At 52.1% G+C, this 27,386-nt stretch overlaps 1 protein-coding gene across 50 annotated transcripts in view, besides 5 other annotated features; it reads left to right on the forward strand.

Annotated features, from left to right (window-relative positions):
• The window catches only part of NFASC (neurofascin), a 194,171-nt gene extending 171,821 nt beyond the window's left edge, over positions 1-22,350 (forward strand). For 26 of the 50 annotated variants that reach the window (XM_011509316.2, NM_001378329.1, NM_001005388.3 and 23 more), the window contains 5 exons: positions 698-814; positions 2,124-2,276; positions 9,085-9,216; positions 12,325-12,394; positions 15,836-22,350. In XM_011509316.2, the coding sequence (XP_011507618.2) occupies positions 698-814; positions 2,124-2,276; positions 9,085-9,216; positions 12,325-12,394; positions 15,836-16,067 (704 nt within the window). In that variant the 3' untranslated portion in view covers positions 16,068-22,350. The remainder of the gene's footprint in view (positions 1-697; positions 815-2,123; positions 2,277-9,084; positions 9,217-12,324; positions 12,395-15,835) is intronic. The other 24 variants (XM_047449979.1, XM_047450000.1, XM_047449996.1 and 21 more) reach the window with 2 other exon arrangements.
• Positions 11,930-12,483: an enhancer, noted in NCBI's record as "H3K27ac-H3K4me1 hESC enhancer chr1:204981530-204982083 (GRCh37/hg19 assembly coordinates)". NCBI's record gives its function as "activates a minimal SCP1, AML or CMV promoter by ChIP-STARR-seq in primed H9 embryonic stem cells {active_cell/tissue: H9 hESC(primed)}" and the evidence as "EXISTENCE:reporter gene assay evidence [ECO:0000049][PMID:30033119]".
• Positions 13,591-14,142: an enhancer, noted in NCBI's record as "H3K27ac-H3K4me1 hESC enhancer chr1:204983191-204983742 (GRCh37/hg19 assembly coordinates)". NCBI's record gives its function as "activates a minimal SCP1, AML or CMV promoter by ChIP-STARR-seq in naive H9 embryonic stem cells {active_cell/tissue: H9 hESC(naive)}" and the evidence as "EXISTENCE:reporter gene assay evidence [ECO:0000049][PMID:30033119]".
• Positions 17,513-18,310: an enhancer, noted in NCBI's record as "H3K4me1 hESC enhancer chr1:204987113-204987910 (GRCh37/hg19 assembly coordinates)". NCBI's record gives its function as "activates a minimal SCP1, AML or CMV promoter by ChIP-STARR-seq in primed H9 embryonic stem cells {active_cell/tissue: H9 hESC(primed)}" and the evidence as "EXISTENCE:reporter gene assay evidence [ECO:0000049][PMID:30033119]".
• Positions 18,311-19,106: an enhancer, noted in NCBI's record as "H3K4me1 hESC enhancer chr1:204987911-204988706 (GRCh37/hg19 assembly coordinates)". NCBI's record gives its function as "activates a minimal SCP1, AML or CMV promoter by ChIP-STARR-seq in primed H9 embryonic stem cells {active_cell/tissue: H9 hESC(primed)}" and the evidence as "EXISTENCE:reporter gene assay evidence [ECO:0000049][PMID:30033119]".
• Positions 25,288-26,128: an enhancer, noted in NCBI's record as "NANOG-H3K4me1 hESC enhancer chr1:204994888-204995728 (GRCh37/hg19 assembly coordinates)". NCBI's record gives its function as "activates a minimal SCP1, AML or CMV promoter by ChIP-STARR-seq in naive H9 embryonic stem cells {active_cell/tissue: H9 hESC(naive)}" and the evidence as "EXISTENCE:reporter gene assay evidence [ECO:0000049][PMID:30033119]".

The raw sequence follows: 27,386 nt of genomic DNA on the forward strand, positions 1-27,386 counted from the left end.
ACCCTCTCCTTCCTGCAGCACTTCTATGCTTGAAGGGGAAGGGGCTGGCACACATCTTCTCTGTGTGGCCTCCTCCTCCTGGCCACACGGCCTTTTTCCTGGCCCCTTTCCTTACACTGTTGACATGACAAGGGATCTGAAAAGGGAATAAGTCCAGGTTAAAGCCTCAAATGGCACAGATCAAAACCCACTCTTTCTACAAAAATTTGCCGGGCATGGTGGCGGGGGCCTGTAATCTCAGCTACTTGGGAGGCTGAGGCAGGAGAATCGCTTGAACCTGGGAAGTGGAGGTTACAGTGAGTCGAGATCGCACCACTGTACTCCAGCTTGGGCAACAGAACAATACTCCATCTCAAAAAAAAAAAAACAGAAAACAAAAAAACTCTTTCATTCCTAACGCTACCTATGTGGACACAGTCAGTTTCCAGCTCTCCCTCCGAAGTCCTCCCGACTGTACCTGCTTGTCCCTGGACAGCGACCTCTGGCCTGGCCACCAAGGCTGCAGCTTGGAGCTCTGTCAGGCCCTGTGCACAGCCATTTCTGACTCTCCCCTTTCCTAGATGACTGTGTGTACATGTGTGCGTGCGCGAGTGTGGGCATGTGCGTGCATGCACACGCTTGTGTGTATGTGTGTGTCTCCATATCTCTGGTGCCACTCCCTCCTCATCACTAACCCCTTTTCTAACCCGTCCACCAGCCCCTGATGAGCAGTCCATATGGAACGTCACGGTGCTCCCCAACAGTAAATGGGCCAACATCACCTGGAAGCACAATTTCGGGCCCGGAACTGACTTTGTGGTTGAGTACATCGACAGTAAGCATTGCTGTGCGGGGTGGTGGTGGCGGCAGCGGCGTCGGCAGCAGCGGCGGGTAGTGGTAGATGCCATTAAAGAGCTCCTGTGAACTCCCCCAGGCTCAGAGAGGCCTTTTAGCCTGGCTTAATTATGGCTTAATGAAATCGATATGCACTCAGGCGGCAGTGAGGTGGGAGGAACAGGCTCAAGGAAAAGGAAGGGGGCTTCTCAAGCCATTAGTGGAAGTCTAGGATTGCATGTCTGTGGAGGACCTGGGTAAAGGGGCCCTTCATTCATTTCCTGCCCAGGATGAGGGTTCTGAATAGCCCCCAAATGAGCCAAATCTGTCCTCTGCATTGATCTCCTTAACTCAGGCTCCACTTGACTGGGTGAGCCAGTTCACAGACTTGGACTATAACCCTGCTTTGCTCCCAGAGGAATGCCAGCGGCCCCCAGTCAGAGCCACAGACCAGAGCCATTTGTCCCAGCTGGTGGCTTGAGCTGAGTTGCTCACCCTTTGCTGGAGCTTGGGACCAAGGGTACAGATTCGTTGGACTGCAGAGTGTGGCCCCTGAGTGAAGGACCCTGTTCCTACAGGGTCAAACCCACCATCCTGGCATCTTCAGTATGTGCTCTAAGCAATTAAGCCAACTAACCCAGCCAGCAAATCCACCTGGGATAGCCTACCCAAAGACCCTCTCAGGAGAGAGCAAAGCTGACTTAGTTCTCTCTGGTTGGAGGAGGAGTTCACATCCACAGCACCTGGACTCCATAGTTTGGTCCATACTTTTTCAGGCTCCTACTACCCCTATTCACCCTACAGCCTACATGCACAGGCACACACTTTTTCTGATGTGGGAATTCACCACATGGTGAGAAATGAGAGGTGAAACTAGGAATGAGAGCCAAGAGACAGAGTCCCAGCTCATCTCTGGTTTTCAGGAGGGATGCTAACTGGCTTTTGGCCCTCACCAGCCAGATCCATGTGAAAAGTTAATCGCTTCCAGGGCAACAGAGCATCTGCTGACAAGCTGAGAGTTTAAGGAAGTAGGTTATAATATGTCTAGTGTGAAGACTGTGGTGAGGAAAGCGAACTTCAGGAGAGGGAACGGTGTCCCCAGCTGAAGGGTCGTTTAAAAGCGTTAGTATTGCACAGACAGGCATAGGGAAGCTGCCTGGAAACCTCCTGGTCTGTATGGTGGACTGGACCCGCGGTTCCCTGGTCCCTTCCCCCACACTTTCTACCTTTGACAGGTGACCAGGACCTAAGCACTGGCTCTCCAGCTCCTGGTGCCTGGCTCTAGGCTGATTGAGGTTTCTGTTCCCCAGGCAACCATACGAAAAAAACTGTCCCAGTTAAGGCCCAGGCTCAGCCTATACAGCTGACAGACCTCTATCCCGGGATGACATACACGTTGCGGGTTTATTCCCGGGACAACGAGGGCATCAGCAGTACCGTCATCACCTTTATGACCAGTACAGGTGAGAGGGGACCTGGCCTGGCCATCCCCTGCAAGCATGGGGCATTTCATTCTCATCCTCAGCTTCCTGCTTGCCTCTCTCCTCGGAAAGAAGACTCATCCCCCACCCCATTTCCCACCTTGCATGGCGTGTCTCAGCTCTTATTATGTATCAGCTGAAGGCTCCCAGGAAGCCTAGAGGAGCCCAGTGTGCATGCGTAGTGGAGAGGAAACAGTGATTGTGGCCCCGTGCGGGTCAGAAGGAAACAAAGGATGTTTAATGACAACAGAGAACACTTAGCCCCCTGCTCTGCCTGGTGTGTGTGCACATTTGGTCACTGTCTGTGGGTCTGGGGGCTGCAGGAGAGTAGTGCAGCCTGGCCTGTGCGCACAGGGGCTGGCTCCCTTCATGCAGGATCAGGGGATAGGGCCAGCGCAGGGCCTTGATCTAGAAATCGCTCCAGGAGATCAGTGCATTTGTTACTCCCTTGCCACCATCATCTATTGTTAAAAATTTCAAAGTGAGTGACACAACTTGTTTGGGGCTTTGTTTTTGTCCCAAATTTGTCTTGGCCTAAAAGTAGGTGATTTTTTGTCATGCAGGGAGAGGGGAAGAAGCTCTCCAGAACCGGAAAGGTTCTGGCTCTATAGCGGCTTTAGCTGTGGATGAAGAAACATCTTCCTTGTGCCAAATGAACAGGCCAACTGGGGCTCAGCAAAGGGTACAAGGTTCAGCAATCTCTGTGCTAGTAGGGGTAGCTGGCAGTCTGGATACTTACAGGGCACTCCCTGGTCTGAGTGAGTGTAGCTTTAAACTCAGCCGAGCAGGCTGCCAAGTGGCCGGTATGCTAAGCCCTGGGGCTAAGGGTAAGGGTGGGGAAAGAGATTAAGAGAGAAAAGGATCAGTACCTTGCCCCCAGGGGATATCCTAATCAGATGCAGGTCATTAGATACACAGCATAGCGGAGGGGAAAAAACACACAGTGATTTACATGAACTTCTGAATGTTGACTTAAATATTCATTACTCCTCCTGCACCTGGCCTGGCGAGGCTGATCCTGGTAGCTTGCATCTTGGGAGTCCCTGCCCATCTGTGTAAACGTCTCACCCCACCCCTTCTATCCTAGTCCTTCCTGGTCCAGCATCCTGTCTTCCTCCGTGTCTCCGCCTGTCCTGCACATTTGCATGCCATCAAGGCTCAGAGGGTCTGAGAGTCGGGCTCCCTGATTGAGGCTAGCCAGGCCGACTCAGGCAGGATGTCTGAGTGGCCAGCCTGTCCTGTAACAAGGGGAGCAAGGCCAGGCAACTGGACAGTGGACTGAGCAGAGCAAGTGGCTGGACTCTGTCTAGCTCAGATGAGGTCCCAAGCTGTTGCTCACTGGTATGTGCATTTGATTTTGCTTCATTACATATTTGAGTCCAGCACAGCAGCAAAAAGCAAAGATGATATTTGAAAATAGAGTTCCATCCTAGGGAAGACTGCCAAAACCAGGGCAGCCTGCTTTCAGAGTTTGACTTCTCCAGGTGCTAAGCCCTAGGGCTGTGGGTGAGGGTTCAGGCCCTGCCCTCAGGGATGTCCTAATCTGATTTGGGATATTAAGCACACGACAGAATAATGATTGATACTGGGTATGCTTCTGAACCTAAATACTCATTTCTCTTTTCTTGCACTTGGTGGAAAGGCTCATCTTGATAGCTTGCTTTCCAGTGATGAAGCACTCAGCCCTGGCAAGTCTTCCCAGACTCCTCCCAGCGAGAGCTGGAGTGGGCAGGTTGATGAGCCCAGCTCTGAGTACATATTGTCCACTTCTCTCACAGGCTGGCTGGAAATTACTGTCTGCAAACCACATAGGGAAAGGAAGTATTTTCACTTTCTGAAGTCTGTGGGTGTGTGTCGATATCCTTCAAAAATACACATTCTCTTTCCTGTGGATGGACTCCAGAGCCAAGTCCATGCAATCCACAGATCTCTGTGTTTCATTAAAGCAAGAACTCGTGAGCATCTCTGGGCCCTGACCACTGGTCACTTAGACAACCACAGGCAGTCACTTTAGTCTGCAGACTTGAGTGCGCTATAGCAGTTCAGGAAGGAAATTGAAGGAAACCACTGGGAAGGCTGACAGCCTCTCTGACCCTCACCAGAAAAATCCCAATGGGAAGTTAATCACCTCCTTGAAGTGTCTGAAGCCAAAGAGACCTGAGGGGCTACAAACACATAACCCTGGACTCCAAGAGGCCCATCAGCCCTTCTGTGCTGGGGGCGGGATGGGGTAAGGCAGGAGGATGGTGGAAGCTTAGAGTGGGCCAGCAGTCAGATAGCAGCCTGCCTCGGACCTCAGGAGAGCAGGGAGCAGGGCCTCAGGGGCCCTGAATGCAGTCAGCTTCTGCTGTGTTTGGGAGAAGCATCTCTTTGGTGGGCCAGGATGGGGCAAGGGGTGGAGAGGTGTCAAATGGTGCTTAAGTGAGAACAGCCAAGCCAAACTGTATTTGGGGAAAATCCATCCCCGTTATATTTGTTAATCTATCCCTATTTCTAGAACATAATTCTTCTGCAGACTTTGAGTGACTGGCCTTTCTTCCCTGGCCAAACCCAATTCCTCCCAGTTAGAATTAGGAGTCATGAGAGCTGTCTGCTTTGCAGGTGTATTGCCCGCTTCTGAGTGGGTGTTGCCGGGAGAGGTGTGGAAGGCACACAAAACACGTCTTCTAGTCCAGTGTAAGAGGCGTGGGGGCCGGACGAGAGGATGCTGTTCTGGCTCCCGTCAGTTACAGCTGAGAGTGGCAAGTGTAAACGCACCCTGGTCTTTGCACACAGATATTACTGGATCCGTTAGGAATCTTGAAACAAGTTTAACAGACCGATTGAGTATGGTGTTGACAGTCAAATATAATTGCTCTGGGGCCTTGCTAAAATGCCTTCCTCTCAGAGTCCAGGTCATGGAGTCCCATTATAAGTGTGATCATTATGTCCTAAATTTCTTTTGGTCCTTGAGAAACTAAATCACTTTGATGGGATGTGGTTGAGCCCACCTTACCCCAGATCCCACTTGGTTTTGAACAGCCTTCTGTGTCCAAACTTCACAGGAAATTCTTTCACCTTTTCGGTAAGGACGGAAGGTAACATTTGAACTTCACCTGGTACGTCAGGAATGAAAAGCCACATTTGCTTCCTAATTGCCCATGTGGCCCCTTTCCCCTGGAATGATGACTTTCTTTCCCAAGAGGAAGGAAGTCTTGTGGAGACAGCTGTCAGGGTGCATCAGAACAAGCACCAGGAAGATGGTGGTGCAACTAGGCCATTGACTAGGTCGTTGCAGACGCACAAACCAACCTCCTTGCAAAAGGTGGGTAGAACTATCCAAACACATGTTGAAGTAATTCCTTCATCCCAGTGCCCAGTTCTAGCACACGGGCAAGCCAGTATCCATATGACCCCTAGCTGATATCAGGGGAAAAACCTAAATCAGTATGCCAGGTTAACTGTATTATAGTAAGATTAAATTCACCCATTAATCAATAAGTAGTCACTGACTACTTGTTATGTGACCAGCATTGTGCCAAGTACTACGAGGCTAAAAGAGATCCCCCGTTCTCAAGACTTTAATAGTATAATTGGAAACCAGGACCCAGGAAATAGAACAATTAAATGTTCCACTGCATGGCGCAGCTGGGGGTGAAATCGGAGTTTGGAGATGGTGTGAGTTGGAGCAAGGGGAGATTCAGGGAGGAGGGGTAGAGTGTGCAAAGGTGGCAGTGAGCTAGGAGGGCGACAGCCTGGGCTTTCTTGGGCAGGAGGGGCAGGATGCACGGAAAGGAGACTGGAGCTCCCAGAAGGCCAGGCTCAGAAGCTGAGCCCACACAGTGGAGAGTAATGAAAGGTGGCACCATTGGAAGCCTCCTAGGAAGGTGGTAACGGGATGTCTCATTGTATCCACAGGAAGTGGCAGGCAGGCACAGGTGAGGGGACCCCTGGAATAGAATGGAACAGTGAGAGGAATATGGGAAGTGTTTTGGAAGAAGTGGCAGCTCTTAGAGATGGGCACAGTGGTGTGGCCTGTGGCAGCAGCAGGAGAGCTGGGAGAATCAAGGCAGGGGGCAGGAAGATGCAGGTTGAATTTCAAGCGCATGCATCCAAGGAGAGCTGTAGGAGGAGGCTCTGGGCTTACGGTTGTGGAGGTGGCTGGAGGGATGATGGGGATGAATAAAGGGTCACTGGTGCTGATGAGAGTTAAGGAGGTGGAGGTCAGCTTGGGAGAGGCCCACTCAGTGGTAACAGCTGAAGCGCTAAGAATAGAGGGGCTTGAAGTCAGCTTGCTGGGGGTACAGAAGAGTTGTCGGGAGCTGGAGGGGGTGGAAGAGCATAGAGCGTACCAATTAAGAGGGCAGCATGTGAGCTGGAGCTGAAAAGTGTGGCAAGTTCCTCAAGGGTTTTTTTTTTTAAGACACAGGAACACTTAGGACTTTGAGACCAGCCTCCACAACATAGCAAGACCCTGTCTTTACTAAAATTAAAAAAACAATTAGCTAGGCATGGTGACATGCACTCGTAGTCCCAGCTACTTGAGAGGCTGAGATAGGAGGATCACTTAAGCCCAGGAGATTGAGGTTGCAGTGAGCTATGATAACACCACTGCACTCCAACCTGGGCAATAGAGAGAGACTCTGTCTCAGAAAGAGAAGAGAAGAGGAGGGAAGGGGAAGGGAGAGTAGGGGAGGGGAGTGGGATGGGAGGAGAAGGGGAGAGGATTGGGGGGAAGAGAAAAAAGAAAGGGAGGGAGGGAAGGAAGGAAGGAAGGATTAAATAGATAATGATAGATCTATATATATTAAATGGTTATAAATGCTATGAAATAAGAGATAGCAGCTGGGTGGGAGTTGGGGAGAGGGGCTTTGTTTAAGCTGGGAAGGTTCAGGAAGACCTCTCTAGGAGGTGCCAGTTGCCAAGGCAGCCATTAGAAGAAAAAGCAGCAGATGCAAAGGCCCTGCAGTAGGAATGAGAGCGGCCAGCATGGCTGGAGCATAAAGCATGAGGACAGGGTGGTGGGAGGTAGGACTAGAGAGATGGCCAGGGCCTGCTCTGATGGAGCCCGACAGGTCAGGATAAGGAATGGAGAGTTTTCTTCAATAACAATAAGAAGCTTTGGAGGGTTAAAGCAAGGAAGTGATTCAGTCCTACGTGGGGGGTTGGAAAGATCACTCTGACACTGTGGCGGGGGCCTGCTGGGAGCAGGAGTGGAAGCAGGGATGGGACTTTTCTCTGCAGCCTACCTAGATCATGGTACTCACAAGCCTTGTTCTCGCAGGCCTCACCTGCTTTTCAGCCCGGGGCGCCCTGGGCAACCAGAGTGCAGAGGACACGTGTTCATCAGTCTTCACCCCGTACTGGCAACTTTCTTGGTGCAATGCCCTTGACTGGGCACTGGGAAGGCTGTAAAATCAGTCTTCACCCCGTACTGGGAACTTTCTTGGTGCAATGCCCTTGACTGGGCACTGGGAAGGCTGTAAAAACAGTTTCTGCCCCCAAGAGGAGCAAAGGGTGGGCTTGCACCCAGATAACTGCCCCACAAATGGCATGTGCTGAAGACCTGGGGGCGCAGGTGCTGTGGCCCTCATGCTTTTCCCCGTGCTCCTGGAAGGAGGCTCAGTGCCTTGGCGCCAGCTCCATGGTTCTTGGGGCTCCTGCTGTTGTGTGCCTCTCCCCAGGTGTCTCTGGGCTGGCTGGTTCCAGGGTTACTCTGGGTGTATTCAGTTCCTTTGATCCTTCCCTTCTGTCACAGTCTCACGTTCTGTGACAGGCTGCATTTCAGGAGGGGTCGCTTTTGTTCTCCAGCCGGTAGAAAGGAGAAGGGTGAGTTGGTACTGACCACACCCCCCCTCCCAAACCCAAACCCAGCCATTGGGTCATCAAGGACACCCTCAGGTGACTCCTTAGCACCTGTACTTCAGGCCGTCCTGCAGGCCTTTTAAATCACAAAGGGATCTGCCCACTTTGAAACAGGTCTGCACATACGCTGGGCATGGACAGAGAGGGACTCACTGTCACAGGGGTTGGAGGGGGAACATCGGCTTGTCACAGACCACCGGGGGGGTCACCCTGTGTGGAGTAGCCTGGAAGTGGCATGGAGTGAGCAGAAGGCACAGCCCCAGCCCCACATCGCTGCTGGCCTGGCTAGGGGTACCCACACCAGGATTGCCTTTGCTGTCAGGAAGCGCAGGATCCACTAGAGAGATGTGAAAAGATGACAGGGCATCCTGGGCCTCCACTTGGTCCAGTCCCCACCCTCAGGAAGCCTGGATGGCTTCAGAGCCATGCTGGTGGGCAGGGATGCTGCCGTGTGCCTGTGCAGGCCTGCGAAGGTGTTCTCATAGCAGGTTTTTGCAACGTGGCCACGGCCTGCACTCCCTGATGGGTAGCTTGCCGGCTCCCATTTCTCCACCCTGGACTCATCCATGGGGAATCATACTTCCATGGCCAATCCGTGGCCATCCCTCAGTCCCCATTAGGCTGTGACCAGCCCTCTGGTTTCCAAGAATGCCGTGCTTCATCCCTATGACACTTTCCCCTTCCTAAAGGACCTGTTCAACCTTCTGCTTATTTGCTCCTTGTACCCCTTTCCTTTGCCTCTTTTCTGATCTTTTGACCTTGGCTCTTTAATTATTTTCTTTTTGTCCTTTAGCAGGGTAGTTTGGGCCAGGGGGCTGCTAGGTGGTAGTGTTAGGCTCCAGGAGAAACATCCACATGAGATAGCTGAAGTTCTTCCCTCCATCTCCCTCCTCACCATCTCCCCCATGAAATCATTCACGGGTTTGCTTCCGGCCCTCCCCGCCAGCTTACACCAACAACCAAGCGGACATCGCCACCCAGGGCTGGTTCATTGGGCTTATGTGCGCCATCGCCCTCCTGGTGCTGATCCTGCTCATCGTCTGTTTCATCAAGAGGAGTCGCGGCGGCAAGTACCCAGGTGAGATGTGCAAGAGGCGTGGGCTTGCAGGGTGGGGCACGTCCACTTTCCCGTGAGTCTCCAGGTCTCCAGCCAGATCCGGGGAATGTGTTCTCTCAGTGAAGCCAGCCCTTGCCCGGATTGGAAATACAATCCTCTTGCCTGTGCATCTTCAGACTGCCAGCGAGCACTTGAGTTAATTAAGTTCGCCTGAGTTGGGCGGATGGCACAGTCCAGGCGGCCTCAGAGAGGGGATGGAAGGAACCCTGGCTCCTATTAAGAATGACCTTTCCTCCCCTTGACTCACCACCCATCTGTTCTATAAATTGGCTTTTTTTCAGCCTGAATCTCATTAGGATCCTGTGTCCCAGGGAAGGAGAAAGGAAGAGAGGCATTTTCCCTAACCGTGTCCCAGAGAATGGGGAGAGGAGGGGCCTGGGCAGAAGCAGCACCCACATGAGAGAGTTCCAGAGGTGGGCGCTCAGCAGGACAACAGTGTAACTGCCAATACCACTAGCAAGGGTCAGAAGCGAGGAGCAGGGAGAGGCTGAAGATGGGTGGCACTGGTAGGGACCCCCATGGCCCTAAAGCACTTTGGGCTTCCCTAAAATCCCAAGGATACCTCAAGATCCTTCAGCCCCTAGCCAGGCACAATGACTCACACCTGTAATCCCAGCACTTCGGGAGGCCAAGGTGAGCAGGTCACTTAAGGTCAGGAGTTTGAGGCCAGCCCAACCAACATGACGAAACTCCGTCTCTACTAAATATACAAAAATTAGCTGGGTGTGGTGGCAGGTGTCGGAGGTCCCAGCTATTCAACAGGCTGAGGTGGGAGGATTACCTGAGCCTGGAGAGGTCAAGGCTGCCATGAGGCGTGATTGTGCCACTGCACTCCAGCCTGGGTGACAGAGACCCTGTCTCAAATAAATAAAATTTTTTAAAAGATCCTCCAGGCCGGGCGCAGTGGCTCACACCTGTAATCCCAGCACTTTGCGAGGCTGAGGCAGGCAGATCACTTGAGGTCAGGAGTTCGAGACCAGCCTGGCCAACATGGTGAAACCCAATCTCTACCAAAAATACAAAAAATTAGCTGGGTGTTTTGGCACGTGCCTATAATCCCAGCTACTCAGGAGGCTGAGGCAGGAGAATCACTTGAACCTGGGAGGCAGAGGTTGCAGTGAGCCGAAATCGTGCCACTGCACTCCAGCCTGGGCGGCAGAGCAAGACTCCGTCTCAAAAAAGGAAAAAAAAAAAAAAAGATCCTGCAGCCCAGACATAACCAAGGTCAAGGATAAGGACCTCTGGCATTCTTGTTTCTGGAAATATTGACTGTTTTTTACACAGGAGCAAGAGAGCCATCTGTCTGTGATGGGGTGGGTAGGGACAGGAGACAGGATAATGGATGACCCTGAAAGCAAAGATCTGGCTGGACCACAGAATGCAATTTCTCCCTGCTCCAGAAAGCCCCATCACCAAACACAACCCATGCTCCCCAAATGCTTCCTTCTCCCCATCTCTTAGAACAGGTCCTCCCCCAGGACCCCCCCCAAAACTCAACACAAAGGAAATAGAAGGGAGAGGAGACTGGATTCTTTTTCATTCCCCATGCCCAAGTACCCACAGACTAGGACTCTGAAGAGCTGTGCCTTAAGTGAGGGAGGGCAGGAAATGATTGTCCCTTACTGGTGAGCGATGTTTTCTTTCACTCTGTTCTGCTGTGCTGGGCCTGTCTGGTTCTGTAACAGAGAAAGCCTGAGTTAGGGAAAAGGCTGCCTCCTCCGTCTGACAGTCAGACTTGGGTGGACTGAGTTCACGCCCATTCCAGGTGGAAGTGGAATACTGGAAGAACCCAGCAGATCAACTCTGAGCTGCCCTTTGCCCTTTCAGAAAGTATCTCATTCCAAACAGTTCTTCGAAACTAACCTCTTGCCCTCCAGCTACAGAGTAAGCCCCTGGTCCCTTAAAAAGATGAGTGAACCAGGAGCTACAAGGCCTGGTTGCTAGCCTTCCCTCCAGTCTTCATTCAGTCACTAATTAGTTACGTGACATGCTCTTCAACTCTCAACGGTTCGGTTTCCCTCATCTAAAATGGGGATGATTATCTACCTTGTGTCTCAAAAAGGACACATAGGCCGGGCGCGGTGGCTCACGCCTGTAATCCCAGCACTTTGGGAGGCTGAATGGGTGGATCACCTGAGGTCGGGAGTTCAAGACCAGCCTGGCCAACATGGTAAAACCTCGTCTCTACTAAAAATACAAAAATGAGCCAGGCGCGGTGGCAGGCGCCTATAATCCCAGCTATTTGGGAGGCTGGGGCATGAGAATCGCTTGAACCCGGGAGGCAGAGGTTGCAGTGAGCCAAGATAGCACCACTGCAAAAAAACAAACAAAAAAAGATACATAAAGAGGTTTTCATGTAAGTGCCCGCTGTGCATCCGCCTCTGTGCTGTGCACTAGCGATACTGGAGGAAAAATGATCTCTCCTCAAGGGCACCGTAGCTGACACCGAAAGAATGAGCACAGAACAAGGCAGAGCCTCGGCTGAATGCTCACACATCACAGAGGAAGTGGAGGAAAGGGGGCACGCCAACAAGGGGGTCACAGAGAAGAGACACTTTCCATCCCATAGGTGTGTACGGCGTGTCTTCTCTGCTCAGGGCACTCTGCTAGGAACTGTGAAGAAGCACACAGACCCCCACCCTTGAGGAAAGAACTAGCCTTCTGTGATAGGCATGAAAAAACGTCCACAAATAGTTACACCACAGAGCAGAGTAAGAAAGGTGCAAACAGTGGAGTGTTTGCCTTTGGCAAAGGAAATGATCACATCTGTTTGGTCTTTTGGGGAGACTTCATGGAGATGTGGTGGGGGGAGCTTGGTAGGAGGAGATTTCAGTTGTCAGTAGAGATGTAAAGAGACCCCTGGGGCTGAGAAGGAGGAGGCAGAGTCAACTTGGCAACTGATTGAGTACAGGAAGCAAAAACAAGGGAGGCGTGGATGGTGCCTTGTTAAAAAAGAGTGTCAGTGAGCCCAGGGCGGTGCCTTCTGGCCCTGCATTCAGTGGAGCCCTAGAGAGCAGGGGCATGTACTTAATCGTCGTGTCTGTGTCTTTGCTTCTCCTTTTGACCAAGTACGAGAAAAGAAGGATGTTCCCCTTGGCCCTGAAGACCCCAAGGAAGAGGATGGCTCATTTGACTATAGGTGCGTGATCTCCCTCCTCCTCTCTCAGGCAGGCTGTCCTCCCTGTCCCTGAGGCACCACCCTCCCCTCAGAGTAGCTCCGCTTGGCTGAGAGGCCATGAGTAGCTGTCCTTGCCCATTGGGCTGTGACTCTGCCTCTCTGGTGGCGCTGTGGTGGAGAGTGCATGCTGCTGAGTTTACTCAGAGGCTTCTCATCCTGAGAGTGCCAGACGAGGCTGCTCCCCCAGGAGTCACTGCCCGACACATGCGTGCATTAGTTTGACGAACAGCATTTCATTCATTCAACTGCACAACTCAAATGTATCAAGCTTGCTATGTATGTCTTTCCACCTTTTCACTCTGAACATGAGCCCCAGGACCCTCTTGCCGTGAGATGAGCTCAGCTCTCATGCTGATTCTCTGCCCACACTCCATTCCTAACCCTGAAGATAATGACCCTGGGAGGCTGTGATGTCTTAAAGCCTCAAGGAATGAAGGTGGGGTGATTCCAGGTCGTTTCTCCTTGAACTTGGCGATATCTTTGGGCTCTAGACTGGAATGGGCCTTGGAAAGGCTTCTGGTCCAGTGCCCTATGCCCCAGATGAGAGGACTGAGGCCCAGACCAGGAAGCGAATTGTCTAAGACTCTTCCAAGGTCCCCACCCAGTGAGTTAGTGGCAAAGCTGGAAAGGCCAGGTCCCGCATTTCCAGCTGGTGCTGCTATTCTATACTTCTATACCCATGCTCCTGTCCTACCTGGATGCATCTTTGTATGTGGGCTTAACAACATTGTTGTGGGTCCATGGAGATGGCGAGTATGTTCTGAGCTGAAGGATGATGCAGAGTGGGCTGTGGAGTGTCATTCCCAGACCAAGTGCTATGGGAGGGAATGTCTGATCAGAGCCCTCCCTCCTCATGCCACCCAGTTACTGCCTGGGCCCAGGTCCCCTTGTCCTCTGCTACAGTCTCCTTTTCCTGTCCTGGGCCTCTGCCACTCTGCCCATCAGCCTGGCAAGCACAATCAGATCAATGTGTGGTGGAGCCACTGCCCACACAGGAGCCTGTCTGCAGGCTTATGGGCCATGACTGTCCACCTAGTCCCGACATTCCCAGAAGCATCCTGAAAGGGCAGGCACAAGAGCCCCCTTCCCATCTTCCCTGGCAGGGCTTCCCTGACACAGCTTCCCTGTGGGCTGAGACTTCCCTGGCTTTTTGTTCCAAAAGCCACAGGGCTTCTCCTCCCCCAGACTCTTGGTGCAGCCAGAGAGGAGGAGCTTGGACCTCCTCCAATACAAGGCTGGGCAGCCTGTACTGCGAGGAGTTGCTTCCTTATGCACCTCTCCTGCCCCAGACACCAAAGCTGTCAGGCAAAAACCCCTGCCTCCTCCCCGCAGACACTGACCCTGGGTCTACACGCACAGGAGCATGCCTGGGCCTGCACCCCTACACGCACACACCCCTCTGCTTTGGCTCTGGAAGGTCCGCAGCATCCATCCTAGAGCCCTCCCTTGGATGAGTCTAAGAGCCCTAACCTGGGAAAAGGCTGAAATTAATACATCAGAGAAAGAACTAAGTTTCTAGAGAGGATAGGCCTAGGGGCGAGGAGTGCTGTTCTCTCACTCCAGTCTGTGGCTAAGTGGCCGACCACCTTTCCCATGGGGCACCCTCTGTTTTTCTCCCCTATATCCATCCACCTAGACCTTGAAGATGTCTCAGAAGTGAGGCTGACAGGTGGCCAGACCAGGGCCACCCCTAGTCATTCTAGTTTCTTTCAAGCTTCCCTTAGGAGAGGTCTGTTCGGTCTGTTCTTTTCAGACCTAGATCCCCCGTCCCCTCAACAGCCTGGCATGCTACAGATCTCTTCCCCCGCCCCTTCCACTGGCTGGGCTGTTGCTGCCCAGTGGCTGCACTTAGCTTAGCTGCCTGGAAACAGAGGAGGAATTCCCACAAATCCCATAGCACAGTCCTCATGCCCCTGCACATGGGATAGAGGGCCCTGGAAAGGAGTGCATGCGAATAAGACCTGCAAGTGGGGTGAGGAGCCTGGCGATTTCCCTCCTCCAGTTGGCAAACAGTGACTTCCGCTTCCTGCACAAACTCAGCACAGCCCCAGAGAGCTGCCTCCCTCACACCATCTCCCAACCCACGGCTGTCCCACGAATACAGTTAGGCTGTATTCGTGGGGCAGCACTGTGGGGAGTGGGCTAATAGCTTTCAATCTTCTAACACAGCCCCGGCTCTGGCTCGCTGCCCTCACCTGACAGCTGTCTTTGCCCGACACTGCTATTAGAAGTGAGAACGCACTGCCCACTATAATGGCAACTCAGCTGGTTGTCTTCCCCACGTCCAGGAAGGACTGGGGGTGGGTGGGGAGCTGGGGGCAAGGCAGTGTGTGGTGTGTGTCTGCTCAGACCGCCTGGCACCGCTATGGTCCCACCACTGAGACCCAGACTCCCACTGCTCAGACCCAGACTCCCACTGCTCATCCTGAGCTGCCTCCTGCCCAGGAACTGGGCTAACCTCTGAAGTGCAGCCAGCACCACCTGGTCCCCACTCTGAGCCTTTCCAGCCAAGGGAAGGGACATGGTGCCTGAACAGACGCTGGCTCAGAGAGCAGCCCCGCGCCTCCTCAGGAGCACAGCAGACATCCCAACTGGGTGGCTGTTCCCAGCGGCCCGTGCAGCTTTACTCGGCAGCCTCCCAGCTCTCCCTGCACAAGGGGAGCTTAGGGTCAGGGCCTATGGGCCTCAGAAGGGGCTGGGCATGATCCTCTGAGCCTTGCTGTCTTCTCACGTTTGCTGGCATCACCTGCTTACCTGTGTGCCCCCCCACCACCACCACTCTTGCGCACCTGTGCTTGCTAGGCCCAAAGCAATAACATCTTTTTATAGATCAACCAGATAGCTCAGCGAAAGACACCAAGACAGACAAGCAGAGAGGTGAGGGAGAGGTTTGTTCCTTTAAAAGCCTTGCTTGTTGTCAAGGCGAGAGTGTTTCCCTACAGAGTCACAGGTCTTGGGAGATCAAAGCTGGGCCAGCCCCTCTTGATGGACAGACTGAGGCCCAGGTCACAAAACCACACAGTGACACACTCGGGACTAGAACCATTCCATGTGGTCTCACAAGCAGTGGCTCTGCCTCACCATGGGGTGGCCATCCTCTGTCCACTTCCACCACACACAGGGACCCAATCTCATGGAAAAGACCCAGAACAGGAGCCCAAAAGCATGGGCTCCACTCCCTGCCCTGCCCTGACCTGCAACCTCACCTTAGAGAAGGTGCTTGTCCTCTCTAGGCCTCCATTTCCCTTCTGCAAAGCAGGCTGGACAGGGGAGGGTGAAGCGGGGGCTGGACTGGGCGGTCTCCTGGATCCCATCCTCTCTGAGCTGTGTAGGGCATGTGCTGGCAGGAGGCCAGCTGCCCCATCTCACCCCACCTGAGATTCTCTGTCTCTCTTTGGCCAGTGATGAGGACAACAAGCCCCTGCAGGGCAGTCAGACATCTCTGGACGGCACCATCAAGCAGCAGGAGAGTGACGACAGCCTGGTGGACTATGGCGAGGGTGGCGAGGGTCAGTTCAATGAAGACGGCTCCTTCATCGGCCAGTACACGGTCAAAAAGGACAAGGAGGAAACAGAGGGCAACGAAAGCTCAGAGGCCACGTCACCTGTCAATGCTATCTACTCTCTGGCCTAACGGAGCCCACCCAGGCACAGCCACCACTTTGCAAGTGGGAGGAGGGGAGAAGGGGAGACAAAACCACTGCAGACCTACCACGAAGCCACCACCACCTTCAGTAACAAGGGTACGATATGGGGGTCTGCCAAGCTGTGAGGACCAGTAGCCACCAAGCCACCCACAAGCCCCCTCCCAATGACCCCCCTTCAGCCCCGGGTGCCACCAGTGTGGGAGAGCTGGAGCCGTGGCTGAGCTCAGCTGGAGGGAGCCTGGCCCCTTGCCCGGTCTCGCAGCCACCCCGAGCGTTCCACCACACTGTCCGCCCTTGGCCTCGGCACACGCTCACCTTTTCTGTTGGTTACGGGACTTCTCATTGTCTTAATTTCGCTTTGTGCATCTTCCCCTCCAGACCCAATGTCTCTGTTTTCTTTTCCTTTTGAAAAAGAGTCCCTGGAAAAGAAAGAATAAGTGGATTCTCCCCCAGGAGAATCCTTTTTGCAAAGATAGGCAAAAAGGATTGAATCCATACCAGAACACGTAGACAGGCTGTAATATTCAAACCACCTCTGGGCCAATGCATTTCCAAAGGATGCCTTTCTCGCCATATGCCTCCCCTGGCCCCCAGCCCCTCTGCCTCGGCCTTGTCAGTTGCTGAGCTGGGCTTGGCTCCTTTCTGGAAAATGACAGTATTTTTGGCAGGGAGAAGGTGCGCAGGCCTCCTTGCTGCTCTCTGGTTTGGTTGGGAGGTGTGTTTACCTCTTGCTCCTCATTCCTCCCCTGCCCTTTTCTCTGGAATATCTAAGATGTGAGCTGCATTGACTCTGAAGACGTTTGAGGAACAGGAGTGGGCACTGATAGAAAGGACTTCAACGCCAGTGACTGTGTACCTCCAGCAGAAGAAAATCAGGTGTCTGGTCTTGGGGGCACTGTGCTCACTTCTAGAGAGAAGAAAAAGGCTGGGTTTGGACTTCATGCCTCCTCACTGGTGAAACCCAGGATGTAGATAGAGGGCCACACCCACCCTGTCCAGAGTAGAGGGCACCTGTCCACGTGGCCAGGGCCCATGCTGCCACCCTCGAGGAGATGGAACCCTGTGATGCAAAAGCTTTGCTGGTGTGTTTGGGGCATAAGGCACTGCTCCCCTTCCATCTCTAGCAGATATCATCTTCTCAGCCAATTCTGTAGGACACTGAGGCTCTTGTTTGACATGGTGTGTGGATGGGGACTTGCCCCAAGACTGAGCAGGTCTGCCCTTTCATTGGGGTGTATACATATCAGGGGACCCTGAGGTGGCACCGTACTCAGTGTTGTGATGCCCCCACCTAGGGAGGACTCAATGCTCTTTGTATGCCTTATGCAGCGCTGATCTGTCCCTGGAGTTCCCAGGTTCCCAGCTCCCCCCCTGCAAGCCTTGAAGCCTCCAGCAACGTCTATCTCCAGGAGAGCAGGGCAGCCTATGCAAGTGTTCCGGCAGGACCAGAAGTGGCCACTCAACACACGTCCTCACCAGTCACCCCAAATGGAGACACTCGCAGACCTGCAGTTCTCAGACCGAAGGTGCTGCCTTCATCCTCCCCACCTAATGCATTTTTGAAACCAAAGGTACCTAGCCTCAGAGACAGAGAAGGAGAGGGGGAGATCTTGAGTCTAAGAGGAACCCTTTAGCTGTTTCTGCAGCTGAGGTCAGTTTCAGGAGGGTGAAGCTGATCCCCAGGAATGGATCAGCTGCCATGGGCACAGCCTCCGATTTGAGCCTCTCCGGCTGCCAGCCAGGGGGCCTGGGCCAGACCAGGGCTCTGTCCTTCCGTGACTTTATTAAAGCAACATTTGCCACATGTTTAAGCCGCAAAGGTATTAGCAATGCTTGCATCATTAATAATCATTCAGTTGAAGGTCAAGCCCATAGACACACACTCTCTGCTGGTAAGAAACCATAGCCCAGAACTGAGCCAATAAGGTTGTTTGAACCTGAGAGTGTGTAATGGTCATTTGGGCCAAGCCTCAGCTAGGGCTGCTGCCTGGACGCCTGAGGGGCAGCTTATCACAGTGCAAGGGGACAGGGTAAACAGCAGGGGGTGGGGTGTGAGCTTGGAGGGCCCCTCCCCTGGATTTCCTCCAACACCTGCTTGGATACTAGGCCCACTGTCCCTGAAGGGAATGTCAGGGAAGTGTGCCTGTGAGCTGAATTAAAGGACTGGCCTTTCCAGAAAACGCTTTGGATCTGAGCAGAGTAGTCAGTTTCTCAGACACTCATTCCATACTGCACCGTACATGCCAGCGTACCCATTGCACCGAAAGCAGGCCCTTAGGGCAGGAAGGGACGATGAGCAAGTCTGCCACACCACCTGGTGACTGGGAAGGGCTGCTTCTCTCGTAAGGGTCTTGGGGAGAAGTAAGCCCGCAGCCTGCCTCTGCACCTCGTTCCAGTGTCCTGCCAGGCTCTGTACTGTCCTTTGTGTATGAAGAAAATGCTGTTAGCCCTCTCTCAGGCTGCTGTTCTGTGGGTGCTGAGAGCTGCCCCCCATCACCACGCCATCACACCCCTCTGAGCAGAAGCAAATCTGAGGCTGAAGAATTAAGTTTTCCCCAAGCAAGGAAGGCAGGTGGTCAGAGAGATCAAACGCTGAGGCGTGGGGATTGCAGGATTCAGGAGGCAGCCCCTTTGGGGAAGAGGAGGGTGCATTTTCCATGGAGCCCATGTCAGAGTCCACTCCAGCTCAGCAGGAAAGTGGAATTGCCCAGTACTGCCTGCCAGCTGGGTCTCCCAAGCAACTACCCCAAGACATACCAACAGTGAAGCCAGGACAGCACCATGCCATCGGCGCTCCAGTCTGTCTGGCTGGGAGGAAAGTGCTGGGCATCTTACAGTAACTCTAGAAGTTCCTTTGACTAGGCTGCAATCCCACCTATATGCTCAGCCCTAAGAGCTGTGGTTTCCTGTGCTCTCATTTGTCCATTCATTCATTCATTCATTCATTCAGCAAATAATCTGAAATCCAGTCTGAACTAAGGCCTGAGCTGTGGATACCATGGCGCGTGAGTTAGATGTGGTCCCTGCCCTCATGGGGCTGACAGTCCTAAAATCAAGTGCTAGGACACAGTGGCCATTGAGCTGGGAGCATTCTTCCCTCTACCGCTTAAGCCACTGATGGCTGCGAGCTTGAAGAGAGGGATTCTGAGGGAGAGCTTGGTCCATCTGGTCACCAAGGCTGGGCGGGACAGAGCAGTCAAGAACCACGGTGTGGCTTGAGAAACAGTCCTGCTTCCTGAGCCTCTTTGCTCTGCCTCTTGGGGCAAGCTCCTTAACCTGTCTGTATTTTTATGCCTCTGTCTCCCATTCAGTTCCTCCTTGAATACCTCTTTCTACAGAGAGGCACGGGCTCCCCTGAAGGATTGTCGAGGCCAGGGTTCGGGAAGTACACTGCCATCGGTCAGGGGACAGCTGCCTCCCACCTTGCCTGGGTGATGGTGAATGGGACTCATCTTTTCCTGCCTTGCTTTTGAGGAGATGGTTGAATTTAAGCTAACAGGAAAGCCAAACCAGCACCCTCCTTTGTGCTCTGAGAGGTTGGAGACATCTGGTCCACCCCATTGCCCCTGCCCCTGGCAAGCCCTGAAGTCGGGAGAGGTGACCACAGGTCTGAAAATCAGCCAGTGCCAACATTGCTTGCCCTGCAAGGTGCAACTGAGCCCACATAGCGCATTCATAGTTTCCCTGACCACAGCCTTGGGAAGACGGTGGAAACCCGAGGATGTGTGGGTTTCCCAGCTAACGGACAAGCTCCCCTGCCACACCCAGTGCCCACGCATGCTCACATACATACAGCAGACCACAACCCTGTTGCCAAGCAGTGCTTCCAAGGGATAGCGATCCAGATTCCAACATTGTCTTGGAGAGGGTTAGTCCACATCCAAGTTGCGTGAGATAAGATGCAAAGGGCTCTGTGTGGATGAGGAACGCACCTTAGAGGAGTGGGAAAGGCCACCAGGGTTGGGCCCTGTTTAGGTAATTCCTGTTGGCAGCACCTAGAGAGAGCATCTGAGCTGAAGGAGTGGGAAACTTTGCCCAAGCAATGGCACGGGCAGCGGGCTCTTTCTGGCGCCCTGTGCTGGAGCAGGGCCAAGTCTTAGGGCATCACAAACAGCCCATTTGATGGAGGGAGCAGGGACATAGCACATTTTTGTCTGTCTTTGTGAGGCTGCTTTGCTAACTCTCTGAGGAGAGGAAGCCTCTCGGGCTTTCCGTCGGCTGGGGCTAGTGCCAGAGAATCCCTTCTCAGTGGCCAGCAGGTTCCTGGGAGGCCGGCACAAGGCACCGCTCCCCACTCATGACACCTTGGTGCAGAGTGACCTCCTGCCCAGTCACCACTCCGGCCAGCCCCAGCCAAACACACAAAAGCCCATGGTTGCGGTTGCATCTACACCGTTAGTTGGCAAAGGATCCTGCTTGAGCTCTGCGTGGTGGCCAAGGAGTAGCATGGAGGAGGGCCCTGATTTTAAAAAGGAAAAATAGAGAGGCCTCAAAACAATGAAACAAAGAGCTTGATATGTCAAGAGGAGACCAAGGCCCTGGGAGGCATAGGCAAGCCGGGCAGAGTCAGACCAGTGCCCTCCCTTGACCATCTCCTAGCATTCCTTAACCTAGACAGGGGCTACCCCATGTGAGTCCAAGCCAGACTTTGTGGCTGTCCCCAGCCTGCACAGCCCAAGCCCAGGGAAGTGTCCTTTCTTTCCCTTCCTTACTAATAATGGGCCTTCCTGAGACACATTCAGAGAAGGATCAGAGAGAAAGGAGAACCATCCAGGAGAGCCACAAGCGTCCACCAAACAGTGTCTCAGGCCTCACCTGAAGCTGCTGTTCCTCCTATCAGCACACTAGTATTAAATGGGTGTTCCATAATGAGGAGAATGGAAATAGGTACAAGGCATCTAGCTTAGGACAGAATCGGATTTCGGCATGTGAAGGAATCCCAGAGCTGATCTCATTGAAATGATCTATCGTACAGACAAGGATATGCAAATCCACAGAAGTGAAGGGATTTTTGCTCAAGATCACATAGCTGGTAAACTAAGGTAAGGTTAGGGCTTGAACTTGGGCCTTCTGACTCCTTGTCCAGTCAGTGTTCTTTCATCTCACCACAGCTGCCTCCTTTGAAACAGAGGTATTAAGATCTGTCCTTCTGGTTCACCCTCTCATACCTCTTTACTGCGTCTCCCACATCCCCCACATGCCTCCCAAAATGAAAGACAAACAGGATTGTTTCTGAGACCAAGATCAGTCTGTCTGTGATCAGCCTGTGTGTGGTTCACCCAGTCATGCAATTAAGGGCAGATCTGGGCCAGTGGAATAGGATAGCTGATTGGTGTTTGTTACTGTGAACCCTAGACCGTACCCCGTAGAATGGTGTCTCTTGCTTTGTAACACATCGGGCCTTCAGTGTGCTGTATTCCTCAGAAGTGAGGGCATCTCGGTCCATTCTGCCCATGGCCACAGGGTGCAGAGAGGCAGCAGGGCCCATGCAAGCTGCCACCCTGGGATTTGCTGGGCTGGAGTTCAACAGATGTAAAGACTTCAGTGAAGCAATAAACACAAAACTCTGGGAGAAGATATCCAGAATTTTGTACATTACTCTGTTTCTTTTTCAAAAATGAGGCAGATCAGATGCCCCTGAGCTGCCCCTTTTTTTCTGATTCCCAACTGCAATGTCCTCAGTCAGTGTTGTCCCTCTGCCCGGCTCCCCAGCTCTTTGCCAACCTCTTCACACTCCCCTTGAGCTGAGCATCAGTCGCCTGTGACGTGGCCACCTTCTGTCCTGCTCCCACTCCCGACCCATGCTGGACCCCGGAGGACCTCCTGCCCCGCCCCCACCACACACCCATATCCCCCACCATTCCAATTTGTTCTTTCCCGTGGGGAATTTTTTTTCCCAGCGTCTCCATCCCTTCCTACATATCCACACACACACAAATTGGTCTGATCTTTTTTCCATTGGTTAAACATTTAACTCCATGCCAGACCTTGTTTTAACCCCTCTCACATCATGTTCTTTCCTTTTTTGCGAGTTATTTTGCATTAACCAACTTTGTCAGTGACAGATGCGTATCTGAGGGTGTCACACACGACCTTCAGCAGGGAAGACTTCTGGGCCATGGAGGGCCGTCTAATACATGGACTTATAAACTGACTGCATGAGCAATGAAAAGGCCAAATTATTCTGAATTTTTTTTGAATCACTGTAAAAAAACTGATTTCTTTTGTATAGAGAACACTAAACGTATAATAAAAGTTGTTCAAAATGGACTCTTGCCATGTGATTTGCTCATTTTCTTGATTTGTTCCTGTTGGTAGGTAGGAGAGGGGTGTCAAAGAGCTGATGGCAAAAGTGGATCAAAGGGTTTTTCATGGGTGCCAGACAGCACACTCTTCCAGAATTCTACCATACCATCCCCCCTCTAGAAGTTGTTATTCTCGAAGACTCACTTGCACAATTTGTGTTTTAAACATAGTGTGACTGGTATAGGAATGTGTAATGTGTACAGTCGTGGAGACACCCTCTGATTCAACGTGATGCGTGTGCACATCCACCATTGAAAAAGTGCCATGCTAGGGAAGTCGGGAGAATGGGAGAAATTTGCCATGGTGCTCCGTCTCCTAGCCCCCTCCTCTTTCTGCACCGCTTGCCCTTAGGTCAAACATCAGCGTATGCCCAGCATTGTGCCTGGCACAAGGTAGACATTTCATATTGTTGAAAGAATAAATAAAACTGCTTACTACAAACCAAAAACCCCTCTCAGTAGACTCAAAGGAATCTTGATCAACAACCAAATAGGGGCCAGGCACGGTGGCTCACGCTTGTAATCCCAACAATTTGGGAGGCCGAGGTGGGTGGATCATTTAAGCTCAGAAGTTCGAGACCAGCCTGACCAACATGGTGAAACCCCGTCTCTACTAAAAATACAAAAAAAAAAAAAAAAAAAATTAGCTGGGTGATGTGGCGCATGCCTGTAGTCCCAGCTACTCTGGAGGCTGAGGCAGGAGAATCACTTGAACCCGAGAGGCAGAGGTTGCAGTGAGCCGAGATCGTGACACTACACTCCAGCCTGGGCCACAGAGCAAGACTCCGTCTCAAAAAAAAAAAAAAAAAAAAAGGAAGGGAAAAGAGACAGAGGGGGCCATGTTGATTGTTGAGAGGCAGTGCTCGCAGCTTTCACCATGTCCCCTGGATACTGCCACAACATGTCTGTAGCTGTGCTGGTTCTCACTGAGGAGTGGCCAAAGAGCCTCAACCAGGCAGGATAAGACATGAGGGACCCCCAGACACTGTAACCCCCCTCCCTTTCCTCGGGGTGGTGTGGGGGTTGGAGTGAGCACTGAGAGGTGGTTCTGCTCTTGTAGAAAGTTAACGGATAGTTTCTAGGCATAGGCTATAATGGGGAATGAGGGCAAATGAATTCCCCTGAAAATGCAGACCAAGTCTCTTGGACAAAGAACCACCGAGTAACTGTCCAACCCACCTGTCTTACTCTCCCTTCAAAGTCCTCAGAACAGACAGGGTGGGTGCAAAAAAGAAAAAAAAATGTCCCCAGAACAGATCATGGACTTGAGGGATTATAGCTTCATTAGGCTAAAATGGGGCCTTATTTCCAGGCCTGGCTCCTCCTGAAATGTTGGGTAACTTGGGGAAGTCACACACCTCTGAACCTCCCTATTTACTCCTTGAAATATGAGAACGATCCTTTCTCTCTCTCTCTCTCTTTTGTTTCTGAGGGGTTTCGTTTGTTTGTTTGTTTGTTTGTTTGTTTGTTTTGAAATAGGGTCTTGCTCTGTCACCCAGGCTGGAGTGCAGTGGTGCAATCACGGCTCACTGCAGCCTCGACCTCCCAGGCTCAAGCTATCCTCCCACCTCAGCCTCCCAAGTAGCTGGGATTACAGGTGCCCACCACCGTGCCCAGCTAATTTTTTTGGTATTTTTTCTAGAGACAGGGTCTCACTATGTTGCCTAGGCTGGTCTCGAACTCGTGGGCTCAAGCGATCCACCCTGCCTCAGCCTGCTAAAGTGCTGGGATTACAGGCCTGAACCACCGCGCCTGGCAGGAAGATTCTTTCTCATCATTCTCAAGTTCACATGCTGTCTTTGAAATTTGTCCCTCACATCCATATGCACTGTCTCACCCTTAGTCCAAGCCCTCGTGGCCTGAATTGAGTGTTCCTGCCTCCTGTGTTGCCTACTCCCTCATGAAACTGTAGCCAGAGGGAGCTTCTAAAATACAAATCTGATCATGTCATTCCTTTACTTGAAACCTTCATTCCCTACATTAGATAAAATCTAAACTCCATGGTTTGTCATGTTAGACCTTTAGTGATCCAACCCTCACCTCTCCATCCTCATTTTTCACCGCTTCCCACAAGTACCCCAAACTCTAGCCATTCCAACTATTTCCAGCTTTCCCTGACAGCAACAAAATTCTCACACTTCCCAGGGTTTTCAATTCAATTCAAAAGTATGTATTAACAACCTACTCTGTGCCAATTAACAGCATAAGATAAGTAGAAAGCCCAGACTGTCATGAGAGAAAGTCAAGTAAACAAAAGCGACATTAGAGTGTCTTGGGCAAAGGGCTCAATAAATATGGGCTCAATGGATAAATTATGGCCCAAAGGTGGGTCTGTCTGACACACTCTTCTCTTGACCTTCCACACCACCCCCTAATCCTTCTGCGTTCCTCCTCTTCTTCTCCTTCTTGTTTCCCATTCCAAGCCCCTCTAGCCCCTTTTCTCCTTATAGGCCATTCCTCCGAGACTCCTTGAAGGCAGCTCAGGGAACACTGTCTGCCCTAACAGCCCTGCACACACACACACACACACACACGCGCGCGCGCACGCACACACACGCACACATACACACACATGCACATGCACACATGCGCAAACACGCGCATACACACATGCTGAATGCACACACATGCACACACGTGCACACATGCACATGCACACACACAGGCGCACGCACACACACATTTGCAGTCTGGTTTAGACCCCTTCACTGTGCCCATAGAGCACCTATTTTATGTCTAATGGAGTCTGGGATACAACATTCGTTGTCTTTTTCTTTTTTTTTTAAGAGATAAGGTCTCAGTCTGTCACCCAGGGCTGGAGTGCAGTGGTGCTATTATAGCTCTCTGCAGCCTCAAACTCCTCAGCTCAAGCAATCCTTCCATCTCAGCCTCCCACGTAGCTGGAACTACAGGCACTGCCACTTATGCCCAGATAATTTATTTTATTTTCTATAGAGATGGGGTATCACTATGTTGCCCAGGCTGGTCTTGAATATCTGGCCTCAAGCGATCCTGCCACCTCAGCCTCCCAAAGCACTGAGATTACAGATGTGAGTCACTGCACCCAGCCTCATTGTCTTTCTTTCACTAAACTGTGAATGAACATCCTGACTACAAAAGACCAGTTTTTCACCTGCATCCACAATTAAGTGCTTGGCACATAGCAAGTGCCAAGTGAGGGACAAAATGAATTAATATGAGTAAATGAATGAGACAACATTCCTTTGAAAAATAGTGGTCAGGTGAATTTGAGCTTTGCATATCATCCTCTTTGGATATTGGATTCTTGGATATGACATTTGGGGGCAACCCACCGGCTCGGTTTCTAGAATAGGCGCCTCCACTCAACGGAACAGAAGTGGAGAGATGAGGCGAGCACGTTGTTTGAAGAAAGCCAACATCAATGCAACTGAGGCCAGACAAAGCGCTTGCCTGTCTTCAGAGCCCCAGGGACCCACCAGAATATCTGTCATCCCTCAGTCTCCTGAAGGCTGCACCTCCCAGCCCATTAGAAATGCTAATCTCCAGCTTGGAGTGGGATTAACAGGCCCAGTGGGGAGGGCACAAGCCATCTTCCCATCTTTATTAAGAGTGAAGGCTCTGCCCCCTCTTGCCCAGCTGCCCACAAAGGGCTGGAATCTGGGAATTCATTACAGCCTTTCTCATCAAGGAGGCCTCTCCTGTCCAACATTATTTTAGGTGGAGAAAGGCGGGGGAGGGGGACCCATTTCAGCATCCCCCTCCCCACTTAACGCATCAGAGCCCATTTGTTTGATGTCAGTTCCTGCTGGAGCACCGACCAGGCAGTGGGCCTCAGAGCAATTTAGAGCCACAGCTGTGGCCCGACAGCCCAGCCCCCAGCCCCCAGCCCCAGCCCCCAGCCCCCAACCCTCACTCCTACTCCCACCCCAGAATTTGCTGCTGATTAGCCCCAGCCACACACACACCCCAACCACCCCCCCAACCACCACCAGCAAGAAGCATGGCTTTGTGTAGACCTGGGACTCGGTTGAGTCTGATAAGGTCTGCACACAGACCCTCAGCCCTGGCCGGGGCTCACTGGAAACTCACCTCACCCACACTGAACCCAAACAGGAGTTCTGACTGCTCAGCTTCGCGCAGAGACAACTGCAGAGAGTGAGAAGCTAGAGGACGGGATTCTTCCACACTGAAACAAACACACACAAGGACATCTCCTGTGCTTAAAACCCCAAATACCTTCTCAAAAGGCTGAATCCTAGTAAACCAAGGGTCCAGGCTTGATCTGGGTACAGAGGTTGCAGATAGCATCTGGGGAGAGCTTTGTATAATAGAGAGGGGGAGATTTTGGACCTACAGGGCAATCCAGGGGGCAGCAACTGAGGAGCAAGAAACAGCAGAAAGGAGATTAGAGGAGTGGTTCTCAAAGGGTGGTCCCTAGACCGGCAGTATCAGAACCACCTGGGAACTTGTTAGCAGTATCAGAACCACCTGGGAACTTGTAGCAATTCACATTCTTGGCTGGGCACAGTGGCTCACGCCTGTAATCCTAGCACTTTGGGAGGCTGAGGCAGGTGGATCACTTGAGGCCAGGAATTCAACACCAGCTTGGCCAACATGGTGAAACAAACCCCTTCTCTACTAAAAAACACATTCTTGGGCCTCACCCTATATCTACTGTATCAGAAACTCTGGGATTTGTGTTCTCACAAACCCTCCAGGTGATGCTGATGCAGGCATCATGTTTGAGGCCCCTAGATGAGAGGGACACACTGAAAAACCTGTGTATGCCTGGATGTGACCCTTCTTCACGTCCCCCGAATTGGCAATCAAGCCTACTACATTTGTGAATTTGCTTCTTGTGAATGGATGTTTTATGCAAACTAGCAAAGTTGCTGGACTTTACATCCAAATTGATGCAGGGCACAGAGACTGCAGAAGAATAGAGGGGTCAGAGCATGAACCCCCAGGAATTAGCAAAAATGGTGAGGGGGGCTTGGACTTTCACAGTCCATGGAATTG

This window comes from Homo sapiens, chromosome 1, assembly GCF_000001405.40.
Source record: "Homo sapiens chromosome 1, GRCh38.p14 Primary Assembly".
Classification (NCBI taxonomy): domain Eukaryota; kingdom Metazoa; phylum Chordata; class Mammalia; order Primates; family Hominidae; genus Homo; species Homo sapiens.